This window comes from Homo sapiens, chromosome 7 (assembly GCF_000001405.40).
Source record: "Homo sapiens chromosome 7, GRCh38.p14 Primary Assembly".
NCBI classification, from domain to species: Eukaryota; Metazoa; Chordata; class Mammalia; order Primates; family Hominidae; genus Homo; species Homo sapiens.
In genome coordinates this window covers 143712886-143725136 of record NC_000007.14, presented here as the reverse complement: position 1 = coordinate 143725136, position 12251 = coordinate 143712886, and the positions used below count along the sequence as shown (strand labels likewise).

General features: G+C 41.2%; 1 protein-coding gene across 12 annotated transcripts in view; it reads right to left on the bottom strand.

Annotated features, from left to right (window-relative positions):
* TCAF2 (TRPM8 channel associated factor 2) overlaps positions 1 to 12251 on the bottom strand; it is a 109437-nt gene that overhangs the window by 5274 nt on the left and 91912 nt on the right. For 6 of the 12 annotated variants that reach the window (NM_001363538.2, NM_001438663.2, NM_001438662.2 and 3 more), the window contains 5 exons: positions 4463 to 5454; positions 3759 to 3856; positions 2266 to 2479; positions 1687 to 1926; positions 440 to 777 (listed from right to left, as the gene is read on the bottom strand). In NM_001363538.2, the coding sequence (NP_001350467.1) occupies positions 440 to 777; positions 1687 to 1926; positions 2266 to 2479; positions 3759 to 3856; positions 4463 to 5454 (1882 nt within the window). Of the gene's footprint in view, positions 1 to 53; positions 778 to 1686; positions 1927 to 2265; positions 2480 to 3747; positions 3857 to 4039; positions 4332 to 4462; positions 5455 to 9136; positions 9292 to 12251 lie in introns of those variants that run through there. The other 6 variants (NM_001365429.2, NM_001365428.1, NM_173678.3 and 3 more) reach the window with 4 other exon arrangements.

Sequence of the window (12251 nt, the reverse complement as noted above, 5' to 3'; positions counted from 1 at the left end):
TAAAAAAGCATAACTCATTTGACTCATAAAACTCAGGTGAAATAAAACAAAACTAAACAAAGCAATGACCATTTATGGAACACTTATTAGGAGACCAAGAACAAAACCAATGAGGGCAAGAGCTGTGATTCAGCTGCAGGAATGTCTAACAGAGTTTCTGCCCTTGAATAATATGCTATATTTCTATTTTTTTCATAATATTTTTCATTTCCTCTTACATTGCAAAATCAGAAGGTGAGTGAGACAGGTGCCATTCTCTCTGCCTTAGAGGGGTATAACCCAAGAAGCACCACCCTGCGGCCCAGTCCCTCTCATTTCCAGGGGAGGTGGAGGTCCAGGCTGGTGGAGTGGCGAAGGAGGTGGAGGGCTACTGGGATCCAGGTCGCTACATGACTGAGGGGTCTGGTCATCCCCTTCTCCCAGAATTTCTGCTCAGTACCTGTAGATATGTTTCCAGGGCTGTCCATACATTCCAGTCACACAGGGGGGCTCCCTTTCCCAGGTGGGCCTTGATTCTCCTCTCTCGCTCTGGAGGGCTCAGAGCCTCGTGGGCCTGAGCCCTGGGGATCCCCAGGACTGTTTCATGCACGTAGACTGACCAAAGGTTACAGGTGGCCTCAGTAGTGTGTGGGGGGAACTCCCATCCATGCCGCTGTTGGTTGTGGCCCAGCTCATGGATGGGGCCCCACACACCCCTGCTCCTCATGTCCATCTCATTGATGATCTCCTTCACAGACTCCAGGTGGCACATGATGGGGTATCCTGAATGCATCCAGCCTGGGAACACAGAAGGAAGAGATGAGCATTGAGGAGGGTCCGCCCAAACTATCTCCTTCATTCTTCTCCATTATTGGACTTTTCTTCACCATCCTGGTTATCCCCAATAATTGCAGAATCTCTGTGCTGATTGGAAAGCAAATAGCTTTCCCCTACTTGGTCAGAAACTGAATAGTACCTAATCCCCTTCTTAGTCTCTCACACCTGAGTTGTGGCCTCCTCCTCAATCTGGCCCTGGAGAATTTGGTTATACTTTACATAGTCATTCTTGCTGTAATTCGACACCTTCATTTTGTGTGTGTGAGTGTCCTTTACATGTCAGTCTGAGATATGATGTCCTCTGACTGGATCTGAGATCCTTGAGGGCTAGAACAGTGTCATTCTTTCTTCCCCATGTATACTACTTTTGTCCAAATTTACACTCTATGACAGAGATAATTTTTGTCCTTATTTGAAGGTATGAAAATTGAGGTCCAAAGAACTTTCCCCATTTGGGATCCAGAGTTCCTTATTTCTCTTCCTATGTACCTCTTTCTTTTTAACCACTCAGTACTTACCATAAACCTCCTTACGTATTTCCTCTTTTCATTTTCAACTCTGGCTTATGTTTGAAGAAAATAGTTGATTTTCTATGTTGTCCTTGAAATGACTCTGGTTGCCATCTATGAATTCCCAATACAACGTTTTCTGAGATTGTTTTACCATCCAGTGAAATCTCACCTTGTAGATGTCAATAATTTGTTTTTCACATGTAAACATTCTTTCATCCCCATCATGGTCAATGTCTTTTATATCTTTTTCCCTTGCTTTACTAATAAAATTATGCTTACACATTTTGGACATTCATAAAAGGCAAAGTAATAGATACATGGTTTCCACTGACTAGGAGGATTCCCTGGGAGCACCCACCAGCTGAGATCTGCACATCAGCCACAATCCTCTCAGGACGGCGGAAAGGGAAGGGCTCAGCCGCCAGCCTGGCCACAGCCTGCATCATCTCATCCCAGAGGCGGAGCACAGGCTCGGGGTCCTTCAGGGCCTGAAGGTTTGTGGTTGGCACTGTCAGGATGATGTTGTCCGTGGCCAGCTCTCCCCAGGGAGCCAGGTTCTCCTGCATCTGCCTCTTCCACTCCTCCAGCGATGTCTTACCTGGGAATAAATATCATGGAACCTACCACACCCACTTCTCCAACTTCCCTTGAGCTGAAAAATACCATTTGAACTCTGGAAGAACATTGCAATAATGAACTACTATCACAGGCGTCTATAGGCTGTAAAGTGAAGAAAAGGCTTCCTGACTCTTCTCTTTGTCTGCCCTGAAGTCTCCATGGACACAGGGTATTCCGTATCTTCTGCCTCCATGTTCCCTCCCAACAGTTCTTCCTCTTTCTCTCCACCAAAGCTCATCCCTCTCCCATTTAGCAACCACCCCACAGTTCCCACGGCATCTGCCACTCTTCCTCCTCCCTAAATGTTCACTCCACTTACCCAGCTTGTAGTATGGGGCAGGCACAGCTCCCCTGATAGTGACAGGCACAGGGCCTAGTTGGCTGCCCTTGGGCACGATGACGTAGAGGAGGCCGCCCCAGAGGCAGGAGACTGACCGCTCAGTCCTGTCCATCCAGCATTGGTGAGTCACCACGGGGGCTCGAGATAGCTTCCTGGCCTTGGTAAGGTCATCGGTGTGGCAGCCTATCTGTACCTGGACAGGTGATTCCACCAAGCGTTGGAGAAATTAGAGTCTTTGTGATGCTTTGTGATGTGCGTGTGAGGTTGTGTAGATGGAAGGTATTAGACAAACATGCCCATGAAACCCCAGCTTCCCTTTTCTATGTGCTAGGCATGGAAACTTATGAAATTTTAGCACTCCAAAGTCATTTGGACTTCAAGGCATTTAAAATCATTTTTCTAAGGATTTAAACAGCTCCACTATAAGTCTTCACCTGACATGAATTGGTGAGAGACCAGGCTGATCCTGGCAAAGGTCTTGTGTCTTTCTGCCAGGCAAAATCCTGGGTTCTTCTAGCAGGACCTAAGCCAGTCTGGGGACGCTGATATTGAGGATGAGCTGGGGGACTCTGCTCTGTCCTCTGTGAACACACAGGAGGCCCATCCAGAGTGAGTGAGGTTGATTCTCTCTCCCTCTTTGCCCAGAGCTTCCCTTTCTGGCCGCCAGATGGGTGGAGATCTGTTTTGTCTGGAGTCCTGGAGTTGCTTTTCTTAGGTTTGATATAAGCAAGCTCCAGAAAGAATGCTGACAGAAAAGGGACCCTAGCTGTGGTAGGAAGTGGCCCTCAGAGTCAAGGAGGCAGGATGAATTTAAATTCTGCATGTAGGGCATATTTTGGGGAGTGATGGGATTATGCACACCCTTCAGGTGTCAAGATAAAGAGATAAAACCAGAGTTTGTGCAGAATGAGCTTGCTGACACACAGCCTAAATTTGTACCGCATGTTTCATACTAACTCCCTCTGAGTTTGCACATGGGACCCATGAGGAGGCATGAAGAGGTAACTGCCCATGCCCGAGGATTTTCCAGCCCTTCCTTTTCTTTCTGTCAATCACCTACTAATCACAGAATCCACTCCCTACACCTTTTCTACTAAAATAACTCTTTAAAATAAGTACAATGGGACAGATTTGAGCTGGGCTCCTGTCTCCTTGTTAATCAAATTGCAATAAAATGTTTTCTTTTGTTTTTGTTTTTGTTTTTTTTTTTTGGTGAAAAACTCAAGTGTCATAGTTTTGGCTTCTAGTCCATTCTGCAGTGAGCTTCTCTTGCTTGATAACACTAGGCACTTCAGTCACTCACTTAGATGCCCTGAAATTTAGCTGCTTCATCTGTAAAATCTGTAAAATGGGCAGAATAATCCATCTCTGTACTCCTGGCAGCATTGCCATGAGCTGGAACTAGACAGTGGATGAGAATGACACAGCTCTACGGTTTTGAGAGGTGGCAGATGTGGGTGTTCAGACCTTACCCTCAGGCCAGCAGAGGCAGCAGCTTCAGACAGTGAGACTTCTGCATTTTGTCCTTCCAGGAGGTAGAGCCCGGTACTCACCCAGCAATCATTGTTGCCTGACAAAAGTCACAGAGAAGGCTCAGTTCTTCCTTCCTATGTGAGTATATCTCCACTTGGGGCCTCCCAGCCCCTCCCAGTGGTACAGCTTCTCCCCTGTGTATCTCAAGTCATCCATACTTCTTAGGCTCATCCCCTCTAAACCTTAAGCAGTGTCCCAATCCCCATCTTCTTGAAAGTACCTGATGAAGAATGGAGTCAGCTGGGCCCAGTGGCTCACGACTGTAATCCCAGCACTTTGGGAGGCCGAGGCAGGTGGATCACCTGAGGTCAGGAGTTCCGGACCAGCCTTACCTTTACGGTGAAACTCCCTCTCTACTAAAAATACAAAAATTAGCCAGGCATGGTGGCGTGTGCCTGTAGTCCCAGCAACACAGGAGGCTGAGAGAGAAGAATTGCTTAAACCCAGGAGGTGGAGGTTGCATGAGCTGAGATCGCGCCACTGCATTCCAACCTGGATGACAGAGTGAGACTCTGTCTCAAAAAAAAAAAGAATGGGGTCAATCTTCCTGAGGGTAAGTACCTGCAATGTCCTGTGTAGTGTCAGCCAATCCCACTTTCCCCTACATCTTTAATGTTCTGGGCACTCTCTCCTGTTTTCATACCTGGGTTGATTCCATTGATCTCCACGGTGATGGGGTGTTTTGAGGGGTACAAACTGGAGGAGCAGGTCCAGGTGCCAAGCCCCTGGGCCAGCTGGGAGCAGTCAGTTCCAGAGTGAGCCAGCCCAGTGGCCAGGGAGAGCACCGCAGCCTCATAGGAGTCACTGGCAACTGGATTTTCCCGGCTCACAGCTGGGAGGCCAGACCCTCGTAGCATCTTCCTCAGGAGCCTGTGCAGGGATATGTAAGCAGGGACCCCCTCCGCAGGAATCTGTAGGAAGGCTGCACCATCAACTCTCAACTTTGCCAGACAGCTCTTTTCCAAGTTCCCATTCTCGTGGTTCAGTATAGCCTGGAATTGAGAGAGCGCCTTGCGGAAGTGGTAGCTTCTCATCTCAGGGGTGGGAACGGGGAAGCAGCCTGCTTTGAGAGTCTGAGGCAGGATGCTGAGGCCAAAGCAGTTGAGGATGATGTTACCAGGGAAGCCAGCCAAGGGGCAGTGGCCAGGGTTCTGGGAGGCCCACCACCAGGCCTGGCCCCCAATCAGCAGCCCCCCACCCTCAGCCACAAACTCCTGCAGCTGCTTAGCCTCCTTGTCACTGTACGCCTTGCAGCAGTAGACACACAAGTCGCTGTTCAGATGGGGCTCCAGGCTGCATTGCAGGCCATGCTCCGATAGGAGAGGACACAGATCTTTTAGATTTGTGTTCACCCCAACTTTGCCTGTCTGGCCTCTGGCCAGCCAGCGCACCGCATTGAGCAAGAAGGGCCCCATCTTGGGAGCACAGAGCAGGCACTCGTGGGCAGCCAGGACCACCCGGCCCCGGCCATAGTGAGCAGCCGCCAGGAAGCAGTTGAGTGAGGCATCCAGCCCCAGAGGGAAGGCCAGGGCTCCATGTACAAGCAGCTGTGAGGGGACTCCCCCTGTCCTGATGTCCAGCTCTGAGATCCCCTCCAGGAGCTGCTGCTGGTCCTGCCTGACATCCTCCCCATACCTGGAAGAGACAGGAGAAACAATGAGGCTACAGTCAGTTAATGAGCCACTGAATCGAACTCATTGAGTAGAGAAATCTATGTGCAGGTAAGAAGATTGCACGGTTCATGTCAATCTTCACATTCTTACTAATGTTAGGATTTTAGCATGCTAATATCATTTATTTTTATCATGTTTAAGGCATATTTTTTCACTGTTTTTACAACTGATGGCATATTATCATTTAATTGGCAACGTTTAGTCTTTCTTTCTTTCTTTTCTTTCTTTCTTTCTTTTTTTATTTGAGATGGAGTTTCGCTCTGTCGCCAGGCTAGAGTGCAGTGGCACAATCTCGGCTCACTGCAACCTCCACCTACCGGGTTCAAGCAATTCTACTGCCTCAGCCTCCCGAGAAGCTGGGACTACAGGTGCGTGCCACCACACCCAGCTAATTTTTGTATTTTTAGTAGAGACGGGGTTTCACCATGCTGGCCAGGATGGTCTGGATCTCTTGACCTTTTGATCCGCCAGCCTCAGCCTCCCAAAGTGCTGGGACTACAGGTGTAAGCCACCATGCCCGGCCTGGTCTTTCTTAGTGATACATAAAATAATGGCATTTCTCACAATCAATTTGTCATAGATTTGAGGAAACGCTATAGAGGTAGTGCCCTTACTTGCATATCTTAAAATCCACATTTTCTAAATGAACACCTCCAGGAATTCCTCCCATTTAGTCAACTATGTGTTGAATATTTTGGCTTCAGTTTCTTGACTTTTAAAATAATTAAACATATAAACAAGTTAGAAAAACTAGTTTATTATGCCCAGAGAATGTGGTACTGCTTATGAATTTCTCGATCTAACTTTCTGCAAAGGAAGGCTGTAAAAACACCAAATCTGGACTCTCCGTAGGGTAGTTCTGATCTAGGAACACATCACAATTAAATTGTTTAACACTACGCTTGAAGATTTATACAAACACACACTGTTTTTAAAACTTCACTTAGATCTGGTTAGAGTATTCACTTCTTCTTCTTAAGGAATGGTCAAAATGTAATGAATCAAGAAAAGGCTTTGTATTTCAAGAATTTTTTTAAAACAATTTGTATATACTGTAAATGTCAAGCAATAGGAGGTTGGTTAAATAAATTATGGTTAACAATAGATTGCAAACCATATAGTGATTAAAATAAATATTAGGTAATTTGAAAAATGCTTAATGGAAAAAGTTTTAAAATTAGATTCCAGGATACCATGCTCTAAATAAGCCAAATTTTGGGGTAAAAAAAATAAAAAACCAAGAAACCAGACATAGAAGCAGAACCTAAAGCATATTTATCAAAATATCTTTGTTTAAAAAAAATGTCTTCAGTGGTCGTCTTGGCTGGTGGGATTTTAGGTCATTTTAATTATCTTTATAAAACTTTATTCTCTCAAATTTTAAAATTAACATCTATTTCTCTTATAATTAAAAATTAAATGTTATATTTTTTAAAAAGTATAGTTTATTTATTCCAGTAGTAACACATTATTGAAAAATGTAACTCTTGTGCAGATTCTCTTTAATTTCTTTTCAGCATGAAAATGAGGAGATGGCATGTCTTAGTTTTGTCATCCCATTTTCAGACTCACATGGCAAATGTCATAGAGTTCAGGTATCAGTTCTGCCTGTGGCTTTTTGTTACCTGTTGGAACTCAAGATATTTTGGGGAGTTAATGACATTGAGCTACAAGACTTAATAATGAAAAATTCCACTCGAAGTGTTCTTAGCATCTTCTCACAGGCACCTGGCAAAGCCTCAGCTAATGGTAGTAAAACTTCAATATGGAAAGCTGCAGTTACTTGCAGATATCCTCTCCACAGCTAATTAAAATGACTGCATATATTCATCCACATGCCCACACACACAAACTACAGTAGCATTGGGAATCTAGGAAGTGACTAGAATGGTTGACAAAAGCTGCAAGAACCACATAGAATTAAAGAAAAAAACCAACAACTTCTTAGCATAAAGGCAGCATAAATAAAGTTAAAGAAGGTGAGGTCACTGAGAGACAAATATTTGTAACAGACTGAACAGATACAAAATTAGAATTCAGAATATATGAGTAATTTCTAAGGATAAACAGAAAAGCAAAAAACAGAAAATATTTTTAAAGTATATTCTCAAACAGTTCATGAAAGATGAAATCCAAGTGAGATATTCAGCATTTGAAAAGATATAATCACACAAATGCAAATTATATATAATAACATATTTTACCCAGAAAATTAGTAAATGTTTCAAAAGCTGACAATATTAAGTGTTGGCAAGAGTGTGGAGAAAACTAATCTTTCATAAAAACTGGAGATCATTTTGGCAGTATCCAATAACATTAAAAAGAGAAACAGCCTATAGTAGTATAAATGGAGGCAGTACTAGGAAGTTCATTGCAAATTGTTGGTAATAGTGAAAAAATATGAAGAAGTTAAATGTTTACTAATATGAATGCAAATAAAAATTGGCATTTAATCATATGATGGATTACTATTTATCAGTCAATAAGAATAGGTCCACCTATGTTAATTAACAAGGAAAGATGTTCAAAATATATTTGTTGAGTAAAACAATTTCAAAAATAGCAGAACTTGGTGATGCAACTTATGGAAGACACAATATAAAGCAAAGTAAACATACGTCAATATATGTCCAAAATGTCAGGGAACAACCACAATAAACTGATAAGAGTGTTTTCTTTTGGATTGTGAGATAGAGAGAAAGGACTGACATTGAAGGAGATGATGAAAAGGGCTTTTGCCTCAATAATTTGTTTCTTCAAATAAGGAGAATGTACAATTATATTTCTCAGGTAATCAAACATTAAATTTAAAATTTAAGATAACTGCTCCAAAAATAGAAGTAAAATGTATAATCTACAAATGTGTTGAGGAAATTTAAGAAATGGATAAAGCTTAGTAGCAACCAAGGAAAAATGTAAAAAGAAATAAAGCATAAAAATAGAAAATAAAATTAAAAGGGGGTAAGAGCAAGAAATACATTTGAATCATCACAGTATATATGAATGCATTGAATTTCCATCTCACAGAAGCTGTCAGATTGGGTTAAAAACATCTGGATATAAGCTGCTTATAAAAGACACACCTGAAACTAAACATAAAAGCATTGAAAATGACAAAATCAACAAAGTTTTATTTTAAAAAATACAAAAACACAAAAGCAGACATATCAGCATTAATAAGGGATGCAAGTGATTTCAAAGAGGAAAAATTAAAAATGAACATTTTCTATGGATTAAAGTTACACTCTAACAAAAATAAAATTTTTATTAATTTTTATGCCCTGCAAAAACACAATACTGAAAGCAAGAACTGCTACAAAGAAAATAAAAATATGAATTGACATTACATTTGGAGATGGTAATGTATTCACAGCATCCATTGGAAAAAAAAAAAGGATGGAGATGATTTGATCAGAATGACTTACAAGCTTACTTACAGCCAGAAGACAATTGTCCTGCATCCTGAAGACAAGACATTGAGACCCTAGAAGGTTGTGTTCTGCTAACTTGTTGCAAAAATATGAAGTAAAAAGGCAGACATTCTCCAACATGATACATTAACTAAAAAATCAATGTGCAGAGCACACACACACACATAGATAAGCATCTGAGATGATCCATGTCAAACTTTTAGGATTGGCTACCTTGGTCCAGAGGCATGAGACTGGAGCTGGTGGTGTGGTGAGGAGGATGAGTTGCCATTTTCCTCTCTATATTTCTGTATTGGTGTGCATTTTTTCAAAATAAACTTGAATTCCTTTTGAAATATTTTCATAAAAAGGCATTTCTTAAAAGAAAACTAAAGAAAGAAAGGAAAGGAGGAAAGAAGGAAGGAAGGGGATGACAGAGGGAGGGAGGGGGAAGGGAGGGGGAAGCAGGGAGGGAGGGAGGGAAAAGTGAGTAAGCATAGCAGTTAGTATATCAGGTAAATTTCAACAGCTGATTTGACAATATCCTAAGGGCAATATTAATGATCTCAGACAGCTAGTTACCAATATTTAAATCTTGTATAATATCTGTTTACAATGTTTAAGTGTGGAAAACAATGAAAGTAGCTGCTATTTAATAAGGTTTAATATATGTTAGGTATTTAACATATGTATTATCTCTTTCAATCATTATAATAAACCTGAAAGTTACTATTCTCACTTTAAAGATGGAGTTTGGAAAAGCTAAGCAATTTTCCCCACGTTTCCTAGCTAATAACTGGCAGGGACAGGAAGCAAACCTGACAAAGCAGGAGCATCGTCATCTTGGATAAACACCGCTAATTTATGTTTCAGCTCCCTTTCTAGCCCCATGCATTTCCAGGAAATCACTTCTCTTCTAACTACAAGCAGCCGGAAAGAGCAGAACGGTAAAACACAGATGAGACAGCTCGGGCACAGAGGGAGGAGGGAGCAAAGTCTCTTGGGTAACTGCCAAACTTCATCCTCATACAATGGGCCCCAGTTAAACAGTGGGCCTTAATAAGAACATTCCTTTCCCTTTGGGTGCACTAAGTTAGGGAAGTTAAAAGATAGGAAGCTAAAAGTGGGGTATGCCTGCAGCTGCAGAAAGATATATGGGAACAGAGATACAACTCTCCCTCTCAGATAAGCACAACAAAGAGACACAGAAGCAGTCGAGGCCTCTGATAAACTCTCCCACCTTGAATCCTTAAAAACTCTTAGTCTGTAAGGGAGTATGCCTCTGACCTAACTCGGCCAGATGCCCCTCCCATGTTTATTTTCTCTAAATTAAACCTGTCTGTGACTGTCAAGCCACCTTTTGTATTTCTTTCCTATTTCTTTAATTTTTACTAAACCCAGGCTGGCTTGCTTCCAAAGCCACCGTTGTCTACACACCAGAACTCTCTCACTCAATTACTGAGTCTTTGACGGAACCTACATCTGGGTACATGGTTTTCGACAGGTATATCTTGTGCAAAGGAAGCTTTACAGGATGCAAAGGTGCGAACAATACTGTGTTTAAGAAAGGAAAAGCATGTGTTACTTCAGAGCTGGAAGTGCAGGGGAAGCCACTGAGGACTAAAGGAAAGGGATGGGATGGTATGGTTAGGAAATGTTCGCAAACCACATCTGAGCAGACAGGTAACATGGGCGATAGGTTTCTGAATGCCAATTAAAAAACTGCCAAATTAGGAAGGTACAGCACTAAATAAAAAGGTAAGTGTGAAGTGCGCTGCTGTCATTTTCACCATATTGAAGGTAAAACATCTAACAATTTATATATTTTTTCTTGAAAATAAAAGTAATGAAGTCTACTGGTAGTAATCAAATACATCTTCACTTAGCTTGTTTTGTTTTTCTGTTGAGATTGTATAGAATGTAAAAATACTCTTCTGGATTTATTTCACTCTCTGATAAATATAAACAGGACAGAAATACTAGAATCTAGAAACGATGTTTTCTTAGGATCTATAACATCAAAAAAAGGACTAGAGAGAACTATGTTGATCAGATGCTGTAAAAAACATTTTGAAGACCTGCAGCCCCCAACACTTGAGTATCTTTTTTTTTGTATTTTTAATTTCTTAAATACAGATAAATCATAGTAAATAAGAAAACTTTAAAAACTGTCTCCATCATCACTGAACAATATGGGCATTGATAATCAGAGAGGTGCCTTGAAATTGTAAATCTATTTTTTTTCTTTTATTTTAAGCTGGTAAATACAGGGTAAAATCTCTTTAGATCTCAATCATGCCTATTAGACACACAATTTTATTTAAACTATTTAACCTGTCAGATTTAAGAAAATAATTTGGAAAACTCACTTTTGTAACAAATTGCAGGTACAAAAATTACTCATTTGGAATAGTCAGAATACAGATGCTACTCACCTGTGAGCACAGATATATTCATATTTCTATGTCAGACCAAAATCCTGCTTAAACACACAAACATTCCTAACAATGTCATAATGTTTACTCTTTCTCCTGGCTTAATAAACTATATTTCTGATATTATTGGAAGATTATTGTTAGAATTGAAGGAGATAATACAGGTTGAGCAGCCCTTATGGAAAATGCTTGGGACCAACCAATAGTGTTTCAGATTTTGATTTTTTTCAGGTTATGGAATATTTGCATACACATAAGGAGATACCTTGGTGTTGGGACCCAACTCTAAACACAAAATTCATTTATGTTTCCTATACAGCTTTACACAGAGCCTAAAGGTAATTTATACAATATTTTAAATAAGTTTGTGCATGAAAAAAGTTTGTGTACATTGAACCATCAGAAAGCAAAGGTGTCCCCAAAGTGGGATTTTCCACTTCTGGCATTATGTTGGTGGTGCTCAAAAAGTTTTGAATTTTGGAGAATTTCAGATTTTTGATTTTTGATTAGGCCTGGTTTCTCCAGTCTTAGGGGACCTAGTAAGCTAGGCCCACTTCCACCAAACCACAGATGGAACTCACATGGGGAGTTTACACTTGAAAGCTTTTTTTCTTGTCTATCCACCCAATTTGTTCACTTTTCTATGTATTAGAAAGCATTAATGATAACTATTGAATTTGTGATTTTGAATATTTTCTTTCCATTGTACATGGAAGGTTGACTGGTGTTAGGAGATACTCCATCCTGGGCCACCCATCAATCACCTGTTCTCCTTGGCCAGTGCATAGCAATGTATGTCATCATCATAAAAACCTTCCACATCCAGCCATTTATTAATTATTTTTCATTCATTTTGTCAGATTTGGTGGAGAGAACAATTCTGGGATCTAGTCTCATTTCAGTTTTTACCTGGA